Source organism: Homo sapiens, chromosome 12 (genome assembly GCF_000001405.40).
Source record: "Homo sapiens chromosome 12, GRCh38.p14 Primary Assembly".
Taxonomy (NCBI): Eukaryota; Metazoa; Chordata; class Mammalia; order Primates; family Hominidae; genus Homo; species Homo sapiens.
In genome coordinates this window covers 131186399-131208852 of record NC_000012.12, presented here as the reverse complement: position 1 = coordinate 131208852, position 22454 = coordinate 131186399, and the positions used below count along the sequence as shown (strand labels likewise).

At 49.9% G+C, this 22454-nt stretch overlaps 1 long non-coding RNA gene across 1 annotated transcript in view, besides 1 other annotated feature; it reads right to left on the bottom strand.

The window, feature by feature from the left end:
- Positions 1–22454, bottom strand: part of LINC01257 (long intergenic non-protein coding RNA 1257) — a 47921-nt gene that overhangs the window by 4079 nt on the left and 21388 nt on the right. Inside the window, exons 2-3 of the long non-coding RNA NR_026670.2 lie at positions 5931–6082; positions 945–1178 (exon numbers count right to left, since the gene is read on the bottom strand). This is a non-coding gene — a long non-coding RNA (long intergenic non-protein coding RNA 1257). The remainder of the gene's footprint in view (positions 1–944; positions 1179–5930; positions 6083–22454) is intronic.
- Positions 3752–4253: an enhancer, noted in NCBI's record as "H3K4me1 hESC enhancer chr12:131689145-131689646 (GRCh37/hg19 assembly coordinates)". NCBI's record gives its function as "activates a minimal SCP1, AML or CMV promoter by ChIP-STARR-seq in naive H9 embryonic stem cells {active_cell/tissue: H9 hESC(naive)}" and the evidence as "EXISTENCE:reporter gene assay evidence [ECO:0000049][PMID:30033119]".

The following is a 22454-nucleotide window of genomic DNA, read 5'->3' as shown; positions in this document are numbered from 1 at the left end:
ATGACAGCTTCTCCAGTAACAAATGGCCCTGAAATCCCAGCAGCAGCACAAAACCTCAGTTCTTTCTCACTCACATTCCACGAGCACAGTGGGCTGGGGCTTGGCTCAGTTCCACGGAGTCACTCGGGACCCCGATGACCTGCACCCTCATGCCCACACTGGACACAGCATGTGGCCCCTTAGTCAGGGAAGCAGGAAATGTGCAGCTGGAGGGGCCCAGGGGGCTTTTCTCCACCTCAGCCAGGTGTCACCAGGTCCCTCCTGCCCTAAGTCCATTGGCCAGGACTAGTCACAAGACTCTGCCCATCAGCAGGGGGGCGGGACATATGTGGACAGAGGGAAGGTCAGGTGGGAGCCACACCTCCACCCATCCCCCTGCTTAGACCACACAGAGGGGTCTTAGAGGGCCTTTAATTTATGATCCTGTTTCTGAGATGAACACGAAGACCTCTCGGACACCAGAGCCCAGAGGACAGAGTGTGTTTGAGCAGCCTTGTGATCGAGATTGTTTCCCACCCAGGGGGCAAACGCACCCAGGAAAGCCCCCATCGAATCCACTGAAAATGGAGAACCCACACCCCAGGGGAAGCTCAGAGCCTGCTCCATGGCTGGCGGCCAAATGCACACGGAGCCTCTGCTCAGTGTTACAAGGAAGGTTTTCACTGCACAGAAAACTCTCTTCTCTGGACTTGAGAAACAACCAAAGCAATGGCTCGTGGTGGATCCTAGCACCGTGAGGCCCAGGAGAGGGGAAGCTTCCAAAACCAGGGAGCAGGGGAGCGGCTGGAGGCGCTCGCATCCGCACCTGCTGCACAGCAAAGTGCCGCACATCTCAGGGGCGGAACGCGGGGCTTCCTTCCCAGGTGACTGCAGTTTGGCCGCGGTGGCTCAGATCTCAGTGGGGCTGGCTCAGGGGTCTGAGGGTCCAACGGGTGTCAGCTCACCTTGCGCCACTCAGATGAACAGTGCAGCAGCGGCAGTGTGGCTGGCTCTGCTCCCGCACCGCGCGTCCTCCCTGGTCCCACAGGCAGCCAGGCATGTCCCCCTGTGCTGATGGCAGAGGCACAGGGAGTGAGCCTCAGTGAGGAGCTCCCTGGAGCCCGGGCAGCGCCTGTCCGCTGACGTTTCACTGGACAACGCAGGTGACATGGCTTTGATTGGAGCAGGATATTCCACACCTGGAGAACGGGGCCAGGAAGAGAAAGAATATTTCAGGAAAATCATCTCATCTCCCCCAGAACACAGTAGGGTGTGGGCCTGGGGCTGCCAGGGCCATGGGCCACCCCTCCCAGCACTCACAGCCGCACGCTTGCGTGTGTCCTCGGCTGGACCTGGAAGGCTCCACCCCCACGGCCCCAGCAGGGAGCATACCCAATGATGCCTGTGCTACTGGATCCGCCACTGCCAAGGCCTCCCAGGGCAACCACAGCACGCGCCCAGCATTTGTGCCCATCCCTTGCCCCACGCTGCAGGGCCTGCCTCCTGGGGACCTCTGAGCCTCTGAGCCCTGTGCTGCTCACAACGCTGAGAACGCTCCTGATCAGGAACGGACCCTACCCGCACGCCCAGGGCCTCACGAGCTCAATCAGGCCATCCCTCGACAACAGCTTCCAGGTGTGCCCTGCCTTCTGAACATAAAAGCTGATGAAAATCCCATCGCCCATTGGGAGTAAACGCCACGTGCATGGCTGCTCAGGAGGAGTCTGTAGGGAGAAAATCTTTCTTCCTTAATCTTCCAATAAGAGACCTATTTTCCCTACTGCAGTCGTGAGACACCCATAAGCAGTGATGCGGTGTTCCTGATGAGTTGTGAATTATCTCCTAAGTGTCTAAAAAGCGCCTCAGCCCACAGCAGCCTGCTGCCTTCAGAGGATGCACTAGATAACGGTCTCCCCAGCTGCTGGCGGGAGTCCTGTTCCGGTGTGGTGAGGAGCCAGGGACGTGGACACGGGAAGCCTGAGGGATTCTGCACCGTCCCCATCCCTTTCTGCTGGCCAGAGCCACTCCCAGGCTCAAGCCCAAAGCCAAGGGCAGAGGGTGGGGGCTCCACAGGGAGGGGTGAAGCCCTGTAGCCATGAGCTGGGTCTATCGCAGCCCCCACAGAGGGCTATTTACAGGTGGTGGTGAGAGAGGAGCTGAGATGTCCCTGAGGGGCGCCTGGGGAGGAACAGGCCCTACAAGGTGACTCCAGGTCAACCTCTTAGGAGGACACCATCTCCCGGGATCCCGGAGGGAGCCACACGTTTCTGAACAGGGCCAGATGGAAAGTAGGAAATATGAGGGGTAGATGAGACTAGAACTGTTTTCAAAGATACAGAAAAAGGAGGGATTAACTCCAGGGACCCTCTCCCTACTAGAATTCCTGAAGGAAATGCATAAAGAAGACAATTTACTGAGAAGCAGTTTGAAATACAGTAAGTTACAGTGAGAAAAGAAAATGATGTATATGGTACAATAGTAAATAATTATTAAATAATAATATCGACAGAGGAAATAAAACCAAACCCAGCTAGAAGACTGTATGTTAACAGCCTGTCAGCCAGAGGGCAATAGTTGAAATTAATAATCATAATTCAGAAAGGAGGCAGAGATGGCTATTAATGAAAGTGTAATGAATTAAACGCACTTGTCAAAAGGTAAGCGACAAGAGATGCAGAATGTCCATCCTAAAAACCAGTAGGGGAAGGAAAAGAATGAAAAAAACTCTGAAGAAGATAAGTCCATGCTGTGCTATATTATCTTAGAAAGCACACACATCTCCATGTTTCTGTGTGTGTTTAACATATCCCTGGAGGTTCATAAAAGACAGGGTTGCCCACGGAGGGAACATGGAGATTCCTGTCTAAGTGGTAATTGTTGAGGAAAAGGACATTTCATTTACATTCACAGCATATTCAGGGTAAAAATAAATTTATTTTTAAAGCCCACCATTTCAAACGAATTAAAAAGCAAGGCTGTAAATTGGAGGAGAACTAAAGGGCGTGCTGGGAGAGCACATGGGCTTAGGAAGGAATTCCCTTGAGACGGGTGCTCTGGGCTGCCTCTTGAGATGGGACGAAGGAGGACGTGGGTGCAGCAGGACCACAGAGCGTGGCACCTGCAATGTCAGAGGGACCTGGGCAGGAACACCCGCCACAGTCGTGTCATCTTGTTTGTGCCCCGGTTCATCCTCCCGGAGCCGGCCCTTCCATCCCCAGGAGCAAACTCCACCCTCCCTATCATAATGGGCTGACCAGGGCCAAATTGGTTTCATGAAAAGGAGACACCTGCAGGCAGAGCCCAGCGGACACTCGGTTGTCTGAAGTTGCCGCACCTGCTTCATTTTGCTTACTGAGCTACTCCTGATGCCCACAGCACTTTCTAACAAGAAATGAGCAGTGAATCCACGGAAACCAATGGGAACGGGATGTGGCAGGCATGATTTATAGTTTAGTTAATTCGAATAAGCAGAGAATCACACCTGCTAAGAGATTCGGAACCACAGCCTCCACGACACACGGCTCCTCTCAGCAGGAGTCCTTCCCAGCAAAGGCTCCCCCAACACACCCCGTTCCACATCACGGAGTGCCAGCCCCGGCCCAGCCCGGCCCATCCTCAGGGAGACGGACTCAGCAGGGCTGCCAGAGCCCAGGCCAGCGCTGCTCCCTCCCTTGCCATCCACAACTCATCTTCACAGCTCGACCCTATGCTCTGGTCACTTTTCAGCCCAGTGACTGTTTCGAAGGTGTCTGGCACAAGTCAGGAGAGTGCTGTGGAGTCAGTGGAGGCTCCCAGCCAATGAGAGCACTCCCTTCAGGTGAGCTCCTTCCCGCACGGGGACTGCAGCATGGCGGGGCCGGCTTCCCCGCATCAGCCCTATCAGCCCTGCATAAGCTCTGAGCTCTGCTGCTCCATGCCCTGCACGGCTGCTCTAGGGACAAGCATGGTGACATCTGGCTTCCGTGCTGGGCAGCCTCTGGTCCATCAGCAGAGTGGGGGATGCACGCATGGCCCTGCCATGGAGACAGAAGTGTGGCTGATCGCACCCCAGGGCATTGGGACTCCCACCTGTCAACAGCAGAAGTGGAGCTGCTCTGTGCACAAGGGAGTTGCCTTTGACCTGATTTTGGCAGTGATGGCTGTGACCAGAGAGGTCAGGCTTTACTGAGTTAGAAAAAAAATGACCCGGGTTGCAAACCATGAGCTGTGTGGCCCTCAGGACCACAGGTGGCTGCAGACCTGGACTGAGAGGCCCCAGAGACCAGCCAGCAGGGCCCCACGTCACCCGAGGACACACAAGTCCAGGCCTGGCTGCTGATCTCCTGCTGGTTACCCCAGCACCACCTCCCTCCCAGAGCCTCATTGTCCCCATCTAGATGAGGAGACAGGGGTCTGGACCCCAGAACTAACCAGGAAGGCCCCAGTGGGATGGTGGGAAATGGGAGTGACCCACCCAAGCCTTCCCGGCGAGACCCCCAAGAGCCGCTGTGGATCTGGGACTGAAGTCCCTGGGCAGGGCAGCTCTGGGCTGGCCGGGGGGAAGAGGCACGTGGTGAGGATAGCGCCCTGGACGCAGGGATCAGGGCCACTTTAGGAACCAGCCAGGGCAACAGAAGCGTGTCCAGGTGATTTGGGCATGAAAAAGAGCATGTCTGGGAAGAACCGAGGGGTCTGTGCAGGGATTTGATTTTTCTGTCCCCACATCCTGCTCTGTGTCCGTGAACCCAAGAACACTGGCTCCCCTCCCTGGAGTCCACCCGGCCTCAGCAGGAGGGAAGCAGGGGGCAGGTAGTGTGGAGACCTGAGCCACACTGACCACCCCCAACATATGTGCCCTCTCCAGGCACCCGAGGAGGGGCAGCTCCCCGCAGACAAGGGCTCTGCCTGGAGTAACAGGGGCTCTACCTGGAGCATCCTTGATTCATCTGAAAACTCGCCAATGGGACCCCACTCAGCAAGGAGGGTGACACTGAGCAGGGACAGGATAGGTGGACGGGGCACCTGCCTGTGTCCCCATTTACACCAATAGGAGCTCACACCACGTGGCCGTTCCCGGGCCAGATACAGCTCCATGGTTGCTGCTGTCAGCACAGGTGTGCAGGGCTCCCATGGGAAGAACCCCGTGGGGCCCCATGACGTGCCTGAGCACGCGGTGTCCAACCAGGCGCTGTGAGAGCGTTCTCCAGTCTCCAAACAATCTTCCGGCAACTGTGTGTGAACGTACATTTTGTTCAGGTGTGAATTCATTGAATACATTTCCACAGTTGGAATCGATGGGGCTAACGACAGAATTGGTTTCGACTTTGCTCAACAGAGGCAGTTTGCACCAAACACCCTGTTAAGACCCCAGGGCAGCCGCCCCGCATAGGAGTTGCAGGGAGCACATGCTTTATGCTGCTTTTCTAAGTAGGTATTTGCCCAAATTGAAGAATAAAGAAATAAAAGAAAAAAAAAGAATTTTCCTGGGACAGCCAGGCATGAAACATCTGGGTAGGTTTAAAATTCTCAACGTTCCAAGCTAGAGGCCATGAAACTCCTTCGGCCTGGGTTACAGCAGAGCCGCATCCCTCCCGACAGGGAACGCCGGTCCCTGTGAGAGCAACCGCGCAACGCCCTTAACCACGAGAGAGTGTTTTGCTTTCTTCTCGGTGCAAGTCGGCTGCTCCTTCCGTCTCCCCAGGGACAGCAATACCCGAGTGAGAGCTGGTGTATCCCCAGGCTGCGCTGATGTCCACACATGGCCCCGGGCAATCCCAACCACGTGGGAGGAAGGCACCCTTATCCCCTTATCCCCAGAAGAGGAGACTGAAGTCCCACAATCCGAACTGGTAGGAGCCCGGACTCACTCTCCACAAGGCCCCTGCTCAGCCCTGGGCCCCGCCTGTCAGGGCACAGCCAGTTTGTGAAGAATTTTAACAGAAAAGCCACAAATCTGATGTGAAGACGCCTACCTGAGAGACGGTGAGCCGAGGGGTGACCCGGGGCAGGGAGCAATGAAGCCCCTGGAGCAGGGCCCAGGGAGCCGGGCGGAGGCGGGTCTGGGAGGTGCATCAGCCTCTGGGAGTCTTAGGAAGCTCCAACGATGACACCGGCCGTCCCTCACCTGAAAATGCACAGGCCGCGTCACGTCGCGGGGAGGAGGGACTGCTTCTGGGGGTGTCCATGCCTCCGAGTGCGCGGAAGAATGGGTCAGCCGCTAAGCAAATGCTGCATTGCAGGCCTGGCCCTGTGTGACTCTGGGGAACATTCTGGCCGCCAGTGCACATCTGAGGCCAGCTCTCCCCTCCAGCTATTTGATCCAGGGCAGAAACTCATCACACCCAAGCCCAGAGGCCCCGAGGAAATCGATGGAAACCAGACTCATTTCCACGGTTCAGGAGCTTGTCACTGCTCCTGACCTGCTGCTGGGTCCTCCTGGGTGCTTCAGGCTGGAGCAAGGAGCACGGGCGGCTCCGGAGGCTCTGGAGGGGGAAGGAGCCACCCAGAGCCCGGGGGAGCAGGAGCAGCGTGAACAGTGACTTGGGGGTTATTTGTTGGGTGCCCTGCAGACTTGGCTCTGTAGGGAAACAAGCCCCAGAGATGCCCAGGTCCTGGTCCGTGACAAACGCGCACTGTGTGTGTAAGTGGGAACCAGCCGGGACGTGCTAGGCTGCCCTGCGGTAACAAACATCCCCGATCCCAGCTGCTCACGAAGGGAAAGGCTCGCCCCCGCTCACGCTCTTCGTCCATTGTCCCTTGGCTGGGCGTCTCGTCCTCGCCATCTGCACTTCCTGCTGCTCAGAGGGAGGGAGAGAGAACGTGACGAATAACTCATGAAGCACTAAAGCTGCTGCCCAGAAGCCACGCCCCTCACTTCCTCTCCAGTTTTATGGACAAAGGCAGTCACATGGCCCAGCCTGATGTCAGTGGTGGGGAAGGTCCTCTGACACGGAGGGGCTGTGAGTGTTTATGAGCAGCCGTGCTGTGGGCTGTGCCAAGCGTTGTCTCTTCCCTCTCCCTGGTGAGCCCACGCCAGTGCATCTCTGCTGAGGGGGCCCTTCCTGCTCTTAGACTTGTCTTTTGGAAAAGGCTCCAGAACTCCTCAGGCAAGACCGTGTGACTTCCCCAAGCCTAAGCCAATCAGGGCATTTATTCCACCAGCCACTGTGATTGGCTGAGGGATGGACATGTGACCCAATCCGACCCAGTGAGATCCAATGAGATGATTGCAGGGAATGCTGGGACGGAGGCAGGTGGCTTCCCAGTGGACCTGAAGCTGAGACAATGTGAGGTCCGGAGGGGCTGCAGCCATTTTACATCCATGAAGGAGGAGCCTGTCAGAGAAAGGAGTCAACGTGAAAGGAGCAAGGAGACAGTGGTGTGGGGAGAGAGGCATCGGGCCCTGATGGCGCCATGGAGCCTGAACCCAGTCTTGCAGGAGCCAGCGGTAGCCCTGGACTGTGCAGGAGCTTGAATCCGAAATCCCCTGGTTAAAGTTGGCTTTTCTGTCACTTGTATCCCAACGAGTTCCAGCTGCTCAGAGCACTTAGGGCCCTGTCTGGCCTTCCTCACGACACAAGACAGGGACAGGGGAAGGGTCCTCTGACACGGGGTGACCTCCTCCCAGGCTCGGGCCATGGACTAGCATGAGACTTCGGAGCTCAACCCTGGATTCTGATGGCCTGGGGTGAAGTCCGGCCTCTCCTCTTGCTCACTGTGCAACTTCTACCTCACTTTACTTATGTTCAATTCAGGAACATAACAGAACACACCTCATAGGGCTGCTGTGAAAATGCAGGGGATTAGACAAGTAAATTCCTGGTGCCTGTAAGGGGTCAAATAATGTCAGCTGGGCTGTCCCTATGTCCCCAATACCCAGCCCAGTGTCTGGAGTGGGAGCGCCTCAGGACATGTGTGACGAGGGTGTGGGATGAGATCACATAAGGGCTGTAAACCCCCTGTGAGGAGGAGGATCCCAGAGGACAAGGGAGCAAGGGTCCCCTGGAAGGTGTAGGTCAGGAGCTGATGATCAAGGAATAGTGGGATGAAGATGGAAAGAGGGAGGTGGGGAACAGAGGATTGTCCCACTGATCAGCCATGAGGACAGGTGGGAGGGGCTGGCCAGAGTCACAGTTGAGGATTCCCTATCACGAAGCAAATGTACAAGGACCACGGTGGCATGATATGGCATGATGTGTTATGACATATCACCCAGTGAGGGAGGGTGGTTGTGAAATATCATGGACTGCATTCATCCCTGTTTGGTAAAAGAAGAAAAGGCATATATTTTCAGAAAAGTAAGACCGAAGGAAAGCTGTACAAATACTACTAGTGAGAATGAATGACCAGACTTTTTCTTCTCTTATTTTAGACAATTATTTGGTATTAATTTCACAATATCTCAACATATTCTCTGTGTAAATCTCCGAACAGTGCCTGTATGTTTAAGAAAGAAACAAGTTAATCAAAACCACAATGAAAAATGACCTCCCTTTCTCAAAGGAATCAAGACATATAGAAAATGATAATCATTTAAAAAAAGGAGGGAAGGGTAACTGTGATAAGGATGAAGATGGTGATGAGGATGAGGAGGATAAAAATTGCAGCCCCGTTACTCACTCACTGTGTCCTTGGGCAACTAACCACACCACTGAGTGCCTCAGTTTCCTCATTTGCATATTGAAGATAAGGCAATCCCCATCTGTTAGGATGATCATTCAGTGTGCAGGTCTTATAAGTAATTCTCCCACAAATGTGGTCAGCACAGAGCAGGTATCATTAATACTGGTTCTTCCTATCAGCACATTGATCAGGGGTGGTTCAGGGTTCACATCCTGGGGCTGGAGTCTCCAAGGGCCCTTACAGAGGCCACTCCTACTCAGGCATCCCAGATTTTATTTTACAGTACAGGAAGTGCCTAAGATAATGAACTGTCGGGCCAGATTGCTGGGTTTGAATCCAGACTATGCCAGTCATTACTTGTATGACATTAGGTGAGCTCCATAACCTCTCTGTGGCCCAATTTCCTTATCATTAAAATAGGGATTATGATGACACCTACCTTCTAGGCTTGGGATAATGATAGAGAAGTAATAGATGAAAATCACCTAGTGCAGTCACTGGGACATGGGGAGCACCATATTTCGTGATGGCTGAGATAATGGTGGCAGTGAAAATGATGACAGTTATGGCAACAGTGATAGTGAAGGTGATGAGGGTGATGATGGTAAAACATATGATAATGAAGAACACAATAACAGTGATAATGAAATGACAAGGATGGGGGTGCTCGTGATGAGTATGGTAAGAAATATGATGATAATGCAGAAGACAATAATGACAGTGATGATGATGATGGTGTTGATGGTGAGGATGATGGTGATGGTGATGATGGTGATGGTGAGAATGGTGATGGTAATGATGGTGAGGATGGTGAGAATGATGGTTATGATGATGGTAATGATGGTGATGATTGATGGTGATGGTGAGGATGATGGTGATGGTGAGGATGATGACGGTGATGGTGATGATGATGGTGATGATGGTGATGGTGAGGATGATGGTGATGGTGATGATTGTGATGGTGAGAATGGTGATGGTAATGATGATGGTGAGGATGGTGGGGATTATGGTTATGATGATGGTAATGATGGTCATGATGATGATTGATGGCGATGGTAAGGATGATGGTGATGGTGAGGATGATGGTGATGGTGATGATGATGATGGTAATGATGATGATAATGATGGTGGTGATGGTGAGGATGGTTATGATGATAGTGATGATAATGGTAATGATGGTGATGGTGATGATGGTGATAGAGATCATAATGGTGATGATAAGGATGGTGATGATGATGGTGCTGGTGATGGTGATAATGATAATGGTGATAGTTATGACAATAGTGATGATGAAACGGATGTTGATGGTAACAAAGGTGATGATGGCAAAGAATATGATGATAATGAAGAAGATGACAATAATGACAATAATTATTACAATGACAATGGTGAATGGTTATGGTGATGATGAGGGTGATGAAGATAATGATGATAATGGTAATAATGATGGACAGCCAGGTGGTGAGAATAAAATGGACTCCTCCTCCTTTGCCTTTCAGACCTTCCTCCTGAACTCCATTTCCATGTATATCCTTTCATTTCCCTGAGGCAAAAGAAAAAAAGGAGCGTGTGCTCAGCACCCACACCCCTATCCATGAACTTAGGCAACCTGCTTACAAGCCAGAGCCAAAATGGTACTGAAGACTTGAAGGGCTGTAGCAAGTGGCACAGGCTTTTGTTAAATCAGACAAGGCTGTAGACATGGGCCCCACCGTTAGGAGTTGAGCCTAGCTCCTGCCTCTGTAGAATGGGGATAATTTTCAGGCCTGTGCCACAGGATTACCTTAAATATGCATCAGAGGATGCATAAAACACACTGAGTCAGCTTCTGGTACACATACACCAGATAAACGGTGCATATGTGGTCTTCCCTCCCCTCCACCAGTAGTTCTTCCATCATTAATGTAGGGAGCCACTGCAGATCCTGGAGCAGGGGCTGTACGTGCTGCATATTGTACATGTATTCCCTTCTCCTCTGCCCTGTAGAAAAGTACCCTTGACTTTTCACCCTCCCAGGACAGGGCAACAGCACCCACTGCCTGCACGACCAGGATCTGGGGGACTGGCTACCCTCTGAGGATAGCTCTTCCCTTCTGAAGCCAGGAATATGTCCCCATTAACCACAGGAAGGGCATTCTCTGCTAAAGGGAGGGAGGGGACTGTTTATAGACTGAGAGTCCATGCTGGTTTATATCATCATAAAATGCTGCAATTATACAAAGCTATAATAATGAAGAAGCTCTTAACCTTATTGTGTTAGAAAATTTTTCCAGCAATCTACTGAGGAGATGCAATAAAATCATACACTCTCTGCCAGTCATGTGACAAACATCACACTAGATAAGAGACATTCTGCCTTCAGGGAAATGGGCACTATTTTTTTTTCTATTTTTAAAAATCAATTTTAATTACACAGAGATGCATGAACACATTCTGAGTCCACCATCTTGGGAAACTAATTTTTGGTTGCGTGCCCGTGTAAGGACACTTTCCCCTCTAAAGCTAACGCATAAGTCCAGAGGCTTTGAGAGCCTCCTCCAATCGAACCACACCTCACAAAACCGCTGTAACCCGTGGCCTCTGTGGCAAATATCTGCTCCCCTGTGCAGTGGTCTTACAAACACACTGATGCATGCACAGAAGCATAAGGCGCATCTGACAACACAACCAAGTTCTATCTCTGACATTTTGGCTGGGATGGCCACCATTTTTCCACCTGACAAGACCTCACTGGTGATGCTCTGGCTGTGATATTGGACCATCATTTTGCCAGAAGTTACCACTGGGGAAACTGGGTAAAAGTTGCAAAAGGTCCTGTATTACTTCTTATGACAGCACATGAATCTACAATTTTTCTCAAAATCAAAGTTTGAATTGAATATATGTGATCTTTCATTGTTTACATACATGTACTTAACTTGCTTGAAACTTATGCTTGGCTCATTGGGCTTGTGTGTGAGGCACAGACAATCAAAACCCTGCATTCCCCTGGCCACAATTATAGGAACATAGATGGATGGGTGACCCAAACCAGACCTTTAGGAGACAAGGAAACTAAATTTTGGAACTCTTGTTTTAAAGAACTTGAGAAATCAAGAACTTCCCCTTCCAGCAGGGTTCCTGAGAGGCTGAGATGCAAGCCTCACAACCTCTAGAAGGTATCTTGACACCACAGTGAGGGATTCTGTCTGAGGATGCAGCCCATATAGAGGAAGCACAGGAAGAGGCAACAGGAGAGAATTATGGAGATCTCCTGGATCCAGCCATGCCTGAAGATAAACTACCCCTGGGTAGTTATTTACATCAATAAGCGATTAGGTGTTTAAGCCAATTCTAGAGATTTCTGCTACTTTGACCTGAAAATAAATTCTCATTCCACTGTTGTAGCTCCATCACCAACATGAAGAAAAGTAGAGCCAAGAGGTGTAAAGAGACAGCCTTCAGAGACCTAAGTTGATCTCCTAGATCCAGCCATGCCTGAAGCTGACATAGCTATGAATAGTTATATGTCAAAAAACTTTCCTTCTTACTCAAGTCAGTTTGAGTTGGGCTTTCTGTCACCTACAATGGAAAAAGTCCCGATTATCCTGCTGTATCACAGTGGTTAACACATAGTCAGCATCAGTGAATACTTGGTGAATAATTGGTACATAATGAACAAAAGTGAACGTTGTGTGACCACCCCAGGATGCACTCTTTCTAAGCACCCATAAGGGGACAGGCAAGGGCTCTGGAATGTTCCAGCAGATCCCATCTGCAGGTGGGAGGCTTAGGACTGGTGACTTCCAGAGGTCTCGCATGAGCAGGAAGTTCATAGAGGGGCTGAGTTTACAGTGGGGACTCCAGACAAGCAGGCAGCAGGAGCAAAGGCGCTGGGGCTGGTGTAGAGGACAGGAAGGAGTCTGGGCACCAGGGCAGATGGTGTGTGAGGATGAGAGGAGGATGAAATGGGTGGGGTAGAGGCCTGAGTGTCCTGGTGAGGGGTACGTCTGCACTAGGGTCCAACCAAGGAAAGAGGGGTCACTGCAGGTGCTTCAGCCAGGAAGAGACAATACAGGGATCTGCATGGAAAGCTGAGAAGGCAAACAAGGGCCTGTGAGGCAAAGATCAGTGACAACCCGTCATTGACCCTGGGATAGAGGAGCCAAGAGAGAGGGTTCAGTCTTCAGCTCAGGGGCCACAGAGGAGACTGGCGGCATGGTGGAGACACGGGCACTGCAGATGCGGCCCAGGCAGAGGGGAACACCCTGGGTCCTTCTTGCCCTCACCCTCCACCACAGCCCCCGACCGCCAATCCAGGCGGAGACCAGCCCTATCAGAGCCTGGGAAATGCAGCCCATGGGGGTGAGCCCAGAGACTCATGGGAAGGGGGATGAAGTGGCCTGAGGACAAGCAGGCCCAGGGCAGCCCCGATGTCCCTCCAGACCAACCCTGAGTCCCAGAGACTTCCAGAAGCCCCTCGTGGTGCTGCTCTGAAAACACCACGCTTCAGGAATGAGACAGTGGCTCTTAGAGAAGCATCATTCCTCATCAGAGCAACAGGAAATGTAGTTCAATAACCAAAACTCAATCTCTTTTAGTCTAGACATAAATAATGAGATTTCATAGAATTCTAATTTCAAGTGTAATATATTACACAATTACTATCCCTCTAATGTGATTTTATTCCTTTGAAATGGATTCGTGGATAGATTTGGCCTGGGTATAAATCTGTGTTTACAGCTGGATCACGGGCACAGGCTGATGTCCCCTGTCTCTATGCCCAGTCCCCTGCTGCTGCACAAATGGCACGTATCACATTGTGCTAACCTGGGTCGCAGCAGGTAGCCTGCCCGCAATGTCCTGTCGAGGGCAAAAGTGCCTCCAGCAAACACACTGCCCATGGTCCTGCACTGGGCTCTAGCAGCCCCAGCTGAAAAGCCATTAGCATTTGAGCCACATGGATCTGCGGCCCTCAGCAAGTGGGCCGAGTGACCCTCCCGGACAGAGGCTGGAACGCCTACATTTCACCTGGCCTGGAGCCATGACACTCATTACAGGACCCATTCTCCAGAACCCCAAGGTCACGGGCTTGTGGATATTCAATTTCACTTTCAAGGTCTAGTGGTGAGTGAGGGACCAAAGTCAGGCAGGCTCGGCTCCTTCTTGCAGATCCAGGGAAATAAGAAAGGGGATGTTCTGGGGTGAAGTCACCCCACCCCTGCTTGTGTGTTTGTGGTTCTGTGCGCCTGTGTAGACGGTTGTTTCTGGGTTTGTGTGTGTGTGCATGTGTGTCTAAGTTTCACCTGCAGGTGTGTGTGTCTGGGTCTTTTCACAGGTTTTGCATGTTTGTCTTGTCAGAGATGTGTTTTCTCTGGATACGTGCTGGCCTCCTGTCTCGTCCATCTGCAGTCCAGCAGCAGGATGGATAAAGGATGAACCCGATCATCTCACTCCCTGGTCACATCCCTCCCATGGCTTCTGCATCATCGGGTTCTTTGCTGTAACCACAGAAGCCCACCCCTCCAGTTGCATTAAGCAGGAGTAGCTCATTACAGATCACGTTTCTCCAACTCCCATTACACACAAATCCCCAGGGGTCTTGATGAAATGCAGGCCCTGACCAGTAGGTCTGGGCTGGGGTCTGAGACTGTGCATTTCCAACGAGACCCAGGGGAAGCGGATTCCTTGGGGCCAGTGTGGACATCAGGAAGCTCCCAACCCTTTGTGGGACAGAGACTCAGTGGCTACAAGTGTCCAGCCCACACCAGGGACTGCTCTGAAGAAGGCCATTCAACCAGACCCCACAGCTCGCCCTGATGACCCCAGGAGGGGACATCAACTTCCTTCCCATTCCCCCTGAATCCACCAGGCCTTTCTAGCTCCTGCGCCCACACATGGACCTGCCCAGCGCCATCTTCTCACCCTCTTCCTGAGCAGAGGCTCAAGGGAGACTTCTGATTGGTTGAGCCTGGGTCACATGATGGGATTCGGGTCACATGAGGGGCCTGACTGCAAGGGATGCTGGGAAATGGAGTCTGGTTTCCTCCTTGGAACTGTGCAAGGCAGCATGAGGGACGTGTGCATGTAGGAAGGGCACTCACAGGGATCATCAGAGGCCACAAAATGCCCACGGCAGCTTCTCCCAGAGCCCGAACTCTGACAAGACTCCAGGCCCCTTCCTGTGCATCTCAGCACATGCCTCCTTCACACCAACCAGGCCCATCCCCAACTCATGTCTGGAATATTCTCCTCACACATCTCCTTCCAGGCCTCAGCCAGAATGTCACCTCCTCAGAGAGCTTTCCTGACCATCCCAGTCATTTCACAACATGATACCCAAATCCAAGGCAGCAGACTGAAAAACCTGCCCAGAAGGTTCCCCAATGCCCTCCCCCTTTCAACATGAGACTCTAAAATGTCTTTCCAAGGCCATCCCAGCCAGACACCATGACCCCAGCGGATCTGGTCCATGGATGCTCCCAGGCATCTCCCAAACACAGACAGGGCTCCTCCCAGAAGGTATATTCTGGAAACGAATCTGAGTCTGCGCTGCTACCTGTGTCTGTGCATGTGGCTTCTTCAAAAGTCTGGATTCTTTGCCAGTGCCCTTCTCTGCCAGCGTGATCAGAGTTCTTGGCCCCAGCATTTAACCAGAATCCACTGTGCATGCTACCACGCTGGACTTCTCCATGCATGACACTTTTAAGGGGCCTGCCCCTCAGCAAACACGGATGCTGGAGGTGATGCAGGTGCCCAGGGTGGGGAGGAAGCCTCAGGACTGGGGTCTGTCTGTCTGCCTTCCTGAAGCAGGATGGACATGTTCTTCCGTGTTTAAATAGCAAATCATTTCCCTACGCTCAAAAAATGAGCCCAGTGATTCAGGGAAGGAAGGAAGATAGGGGCCAGTGGTGCTGGGCATGCTGGGTCTCTCAGCTGCTGCCTATTGTGGGAGGGGCTGTGGTGATGGAAGTGGGTCCATCCCCACAGCCGGCGGCAGGAACAGCAGAATGGCCTTCTAGCGTCTCCTGCATGACTGGAGACCTCTAGCTGGTGTGTCTCCAGGAAGGACGCTGGCTCTGGCAGGATGTATCCAGGGACCTGGAGCCCCTCTGTGTGCAATAAATGGATCAGACTTGAAGAGCACGGACAGTGGGTGGAAGAGATGCCTGCTGGGACTGAGCCGCAGTGGACACCTGGGGTGGTGCTGGATGCTAAGGGACTCCTGGAGGGTCCCCTCATCTGTCCATGCACACACTCACTCCCTCACTAAGTTTGGGTAAAGGGAGACAGGTCTCAGGAACATGGAGGATGGGACGGGCAGGGTTGGGGAAAGAGAAGGGAGTGGACAGAGGGCGAAGTCACAGCATCACCCAGGTGAATTGAAAGTAAGTTTAGAAGCAGGTGAGAGCCATGAAGATGGAAGCCAGGGATAGGGAGGGGGGAAGGTGAAGGCAGAGCTGTTGGGATGATAGAGAAATCAAAGTTCTTAATCCCGGCTCATTCAAACACTTGTGATCCCACTCCCCAGGGAGCTGCGGGCAGTAGTAGTGAGGGTGCCCCCAGGGTAGGCAAGAGATCAGAGGAGTGAACTGGAAGAGGCTGGATCCCTCAGCTCTGCGGCTGAAATGAGGAAATTCTTCCTAACAGGCAAGCCTGGACATCAAAGCATGAAAGAGAAAAATCTTGGTCCCCAAAGTAAGGCTCTGTTTCCTTTCATGCCTAGGATCTTCCCATTAGAGTAGGCTGACCAACTCAAATAAAGTCAGAATCATGGAAACACCTATAATTCTTGAAAATTGTATTTTACCATAAAACGTATAAATGTACACTTTTTTTGCTAATATTTTTAGTGTGGGTTTGATAGCTGGAGATCTGCCCCCTATCTCTTACATCTCTTGCACCCATAATATGTCCAAGAATAAGAGTTTTATTTTACCTTTTTAAAATTTTACATTTTATTGATACATAATAGATGTACATATTTCCAGGGTACCTGTGGTAATTTAATACATTCATACAATTTGTAAGTATAATTGGGATACCCACCACCAATTACATAATGGATATTTGAGTACCAAAATTTACAATTTGAGTACAAAATCCTTCAGACTTCTACTAAATACTTCATAGTTCTTTGATCCCAATGTACTCATAATGGTTTAATTTTTAATGACTCTATTAAATAATTCTAAAACTAGCAATTCAGGTTTTGCAGAAATAACCCATTTTGTCCTTTTATCTCAGTGGGTTATGGTGGTTTGTAAAAGTACCTAAACTCAATAACACATATAACCGGCACAAGCAGATTTCAGATCAGTCAGCATTTCCCCCAGCAGGAGCACACATGTCTGGGGACTGGAGAGGGGCTCAACCTACACGTGGTCCACACCCTCGGGCTGTGGTCAGTGTGTGTAGAGGGAAGAGCAAGTCAATGTGGGGGGTTCACCATGTGGATATAGACCAAAATGCCTTCTACTAAGTTATTATATGGCATAAAATGGGACTCTGGTGCCCACTCATCTAGCTTTTAAAATTTAAATATATATAGCCAACAGAGAGAGAGCAAGAGCAATTTAAAGCCATTTAGGTAATTCCAGTCAAGGAGCTAAACCTTGACTGCAAGGGAGTTGTGGGTTGGAGTCTGCTGTCCCCTCATCAATCTCTCCTGTATGTGAACAGCTCACCATCCTCAGGGTGATCCCAGTGTTTAAAATTACATTTTTCATTCGAGAATCCTACAAACAAGGCATTCATTTCATCTGCTGCTCAACAGAAAAGAAAAACAAAAAACCAGTTATCTCTTACAATGCTGAACAATTCCAGTGATGTCTAAAGGAACTGAACTTAAACTGTACACCCTATACCATGTAGTTATTATTTTTCATACCCACGGTTTATTGTGCTCCACCACACCATGCTGGGTCCTGGGTGTGAATGTCCCAGCTTAGACTGGAACAGACTTGTGTGGGAATCCTGGATCCACCCCTTGCTGGATGTGTGGCCAACTCTGTAAACTCTCTGTGGCCTCAGTTTCTACATGGGTAAAAAGCACATGACAGTGGTACCAGCTTCACGGGGTAAGCATTAAATGAAATACTCCATTAAGACCCCTTAGCAGAAGGACCGTCACACAGCAGGTGCTCAGTAAATGCTACTGTTATTAACATCACATGCACAAGATGGACTTTACATTGAAGGATGCAGAGGTAATATAAACATCCATCAAGCTGTGTTTCAGGGCATTGGCGAATGAAGCACTAGATTAGAAGGCTTTTGATCAAATACATTCACATCTCTCTCGTAAATAGGTCCCTGGACTCAAATAATTCTTTATGTTAAATGTACATATTTGTTCCTAAACCCATATTTCTTATTGCCTCAATCTTAATGCTTAAACCTACATTTTAGAAGAATAACAGGAATTGGAACCACTATTTATTATTTTTCAAGATTAAAATTGATTTTCAGATTTTATGCAATATTGCCTTTTTCACACTGCCTGTGGGTTATTAACATTTAGTCAGAGCTTCCATTTCACATTCTTCATATCTCATTTCTCCTGCTTGCCATCCAGAGGAAGAGAGTCTCCCTGAGTTTTTAGGCAACTCGCTTTAGATTATTTTTAATTTACTCCTGACAGAAAACTGAAATTGCTCAAACTTAAACTTTCCTATTTTCCCTCAGGCTCCTATGTCAGCACCTATGATTTCTTTTTCTCCATTTTTTTTAGCTAAAATTTATGTAACATAAAATTAACCACTTTAAAGTGAACAATTCAATGACACTTAGTGCATTCACATGTTGTGCGACCACCACCTCTCTCTAGTTCCTCAGTAGACTTGTCCCTCAGTATCCACAAGGGATTGGTTCCAGGACCCTCTGCAAATACCCAAATCTATGAATGCTCAAGCAGTTTATATAAAATGGCCTAGTATTTTCATTATTGTGCTGCTATTGTCATAGGATCTTTGGGGTGTCATTTTTCCAGCCTGAAACCTTTGTGGCTGGTGGTGCCTTTGCCTGAGTTTTGCTCAGGCCTGCTGGGCTCATTCTGCCCATTCAGCCCAGCAGGCTGCACTTGGGAGTGCTACCAGCTCAGATCCCATGCCTGCCAAGGGTGCACCAAGTGCAGAGCAGTAAGGGGTGTGTGAGTGAGCATGGGGCCCAGCCACTGTGCACAGCCAGGCAGGCCAGCTGTGGCAGAGTGGGAAGCTCCAGGTGCCAGCACAAGCAGCAGCTTCATTCAAGGCTGCAGCTGGGCCAGGCATATTGCAAGCAGCTTCCACTGTGGGCACCAGGGAACATGGTGGCACCCAGAGGCTTGGAGATGCCAGGAACTGCAGAACCCCAAAAAGGGTATCACAGCCCTGGCTTGGAGAGTCCCTAGGTCTGAGCTCTGTGCTCAGAGTGCAGCCTGCTGGTTGAGTGGGCAGAATGAGCTCAGTGGGCCTGAGCAATAGTCGGGCAAAAGTGCCACCAGCCACAGATCTTCTCTCCTTCTTGTTGCCTGCAACATGACGAGCAGGGAGCATGTTTCAGCCCTGATGGTGTTACAACTCTTTCGATTGTGCCATTCAGCAGGTTCCAAGGTCTTTTCCCATGTCCAGGAAGATTGAGTGATATGGTTTGGCTGTGTCCCCATTCAAATCTCAACTTGAATTGTATCTCCCAGAATTCCCAAGTGTTGTGGGAGGGACCCAGGGGGAGGTACTTGAATCATGGGAGCCAGTCTTTCCTGTGCTATTCTCATGATAGTGAATAAGTCTCATGAGATATGATGGGTTTGTCAGGGATTTCTGCTTTTTCTTCCTCCTCATTTTTCTCTTGCTGCCGCCATGTAAGAAGTGCATTTTGCCTACCTCCATGATTCTGAGGCCTCCCCAGCCATGTGGAACTATAAGTCCAATTAAACCTCCTTTCCTTCCCAGTCTCAGGTAGGTATTTATCAGCAGCATGAAAACAGACTAATACAATGAGGTACGCAGACAACAGGAAGGTGAGCAAGGTGGAAAAGAGCTTCAATGAGCTACAGAACAGCTTTCAGGAGACCCAGAGGGAGTAGCCCTTCTTTCTGCAGGCAGGTCTCCCTGATGAGTGTCCAGCTGTCAGCGGAGAGAAGACCCACGGTGGGTAGCTTCTTTCTGTAGGCAGATCAACTCTCAGTGGTGCCCAGCTATCAGTGGAGAGGAGACCTGGAGTGGATAGCTCCTTTCTGCAGGCAGGTTGTCTTGATGATTTGAGGAGAACCAAAGTGGGTAGGTCCTTCCCACAGCTGGTAGTCTTGATGTCTCTGTGAATCTGGCTGAGTCTAGGGTTTGTATGGGCCTCAGAAGGGAGGAAGTGCGTACTGATTGGTCCATGGACGGCCATGGGCGGGCCCACAAAAAGCATCATAAGTTCTTACTCCAGGCCGCAGACACCACCTGGAACTGATTACACCTGGAATTGGTGGGACTCCACCTGGCCCCCATGCTTCCAGCCATCCCTGGCTTGAAGGTGGGGCTTCACTGGAAACCCACCCCTTTCTGCCTGCCCAGGAGTGTGTCTGCCTCCTGCTGCCATCAATCATATTGTCCACAGTGCCCAGGTTGTTTGTGTCAATGGGCAGCTGTAGGCTCATGCCAAGCCACCCTCAGCACCCCCCTCAGCCTCCCTCCCATGCTCTTCAGCACCCAAAGTCTGGAGGGGGCCAAGGTGGCAGGGTCATGACATCTTAGTGCCACCCTGAGCACATGCACACCCAGTCAGGTTGAGACAGCATGCAGGCTTGGCCTCCACTTTGCTCCAAAATCAGAGCAGCCACCAGGAACAGGGAAAGGCCAGGCAGCAGGAGAAGGCACTTCTGAGCCTGTGGGGGAAGGGGGATTCCCAGGCCCCTGAGGGTGAAGGAAAGCCTGGTCTGCAACCATGGCTGGGCAGCTGCAGCTGTGCCTGGGAGCATGGGGCTCCCACCCCAACAACTGGGAATGGGGTGGGGTTCCCACCTGTTCCTGGCTCCCACTGGCTCCATAGAGCATGCAACCCCAGCTGCACCTCCCCGGCTGCAGCTGGTGTCTTCACAGTGGCTGCTCCAGATAGGCCACCGCTGCCATCACTATCATGTGTACACAAGTATTTCTTAGAATACCTGTGTTCAATTCTTTGGGGTATATACCTGTGAGTGGAATTGCTGGGTCATATGTCCTACAGTTGAAATTTGATCCCAAGTGTTGGAGGTGGGGCTTAATGGAAGGTGTTTTGGCCATGGGAGCAAATTTCTCATGAATATATTAATGCCCTCCCTGAGGAGTGAGTTCTCACTCTGTTGGTTCCCATGAGAGCTGATTATTAAAAAGAGTTTCAGACCTCCCCTTCTGTCTCTTGCTTCCTATCAGTGATCTCTGCATCCCCTTCACCTGGCTCCCCTTCACTTTTCACCATGAGTAGAAGCAGCTTGAGGCCCTCACCAGAAGCCAAGCAGCTGCTGGTGCCATGCTTCTTGTACAGCCTGCAGAACCATGAGCCAAAGAAACCTCTTTTCTTCATAAATTACCCAGCCTCGGGCATTCCATTATAGCAGCACTAAATGGACTAAGATATATGATAATTCTATGTTTAACTTTTTGAGGGACCTCCAACATTTTTATAGGGACTACATCATTCTACATTACCACCAGCAAGGTACAAGGGTTTCAATTTCTCCACATTCTGGCCAACACTTTTTATTTTCAATTTCTTATTTGTTTTTTTGCTTATAGCTATCCTTGCAGGTGTGAACTGGTATCTCATTGTGGTTTCAATATGCATTTTCGTACTGACTAATGATATCAATCATCTTTTCTTCTGCTTGTTGATTTACATATCTTCTTAGGAAAAACATCTATTTGAGTCTTTTGCAATTTTCAATATTATGTTGTTTGTCTTTTGTTGTCAAGTTATGAGTTTTTATATATTCTGTATGTTAGACCTTTATGAGATAAATGATTCACAAATGTGTTCTGCCATTCTGTGGATTGTCTTTTTACTTCCTTGGTAATGTTCATGATGGATGAAATATTTTAATTTCTTATTATTTTACTTATTTTTTAATTGATAGATTACAACTATACATACTTACTGGATACAGTGTGATGTTTTGATACATGTACATATTTTGAAATAACCAAATCAGGGCATATAGCATTCCCATCACCTTATACATTTATCATTTCTTTGTGGTGACAACATTCAAGATCCTCTCCTCCAGATATGTTGAAATATACAATGTAATATTTTTAACTATAAGCACCTTATTGTGTAATAGAACACCGAAGCTTAATCATTTTGCCTAACTGTAACTTTGTGCCTATTGACCTATTTCTCCCTCTACCCTCCCCAGCTTCCGGCAAGCACTATTCTATTCTCTACTTCTATGAGATCAACTTCTTTAGATTCCACATATGTGTGAGATCATGTGGCATTTGTCTTTCTGTGCCTAGCTTATTTCAATTAACATAATGTCCTCCAGGTTCATTCAAATTGCTGCAAATGACAGGATTTCATTGTTTTTATGGCTGAAGAGTATTCCTTCATGTATCTATGTCACATTTTATTTATCTGTTCAATCTGTTGGTGGACACTTAGGTTGATTCCATAGCTTGACATTTGTGACTGGGTTTGCAATAAACATAGGAGCATATATATATCTCTTTGACATAATTATTTTCTTTTGCATATATAGCCAAGTGTGAAATTGCTGGATCATATGGTAGTCCTATTTTTAATTATTTGAGGAACTATATGGTTTTTCATAATGGCTGTACAAATTTACAGTCCCACCAACAGTGTATAAGGGTTCCCCTTTTTCCACATTCACACCAGAATTTGTTGGGGTGAGGAGATATTGCATTGTGGTTTTGATTTGTGTTTCTTTG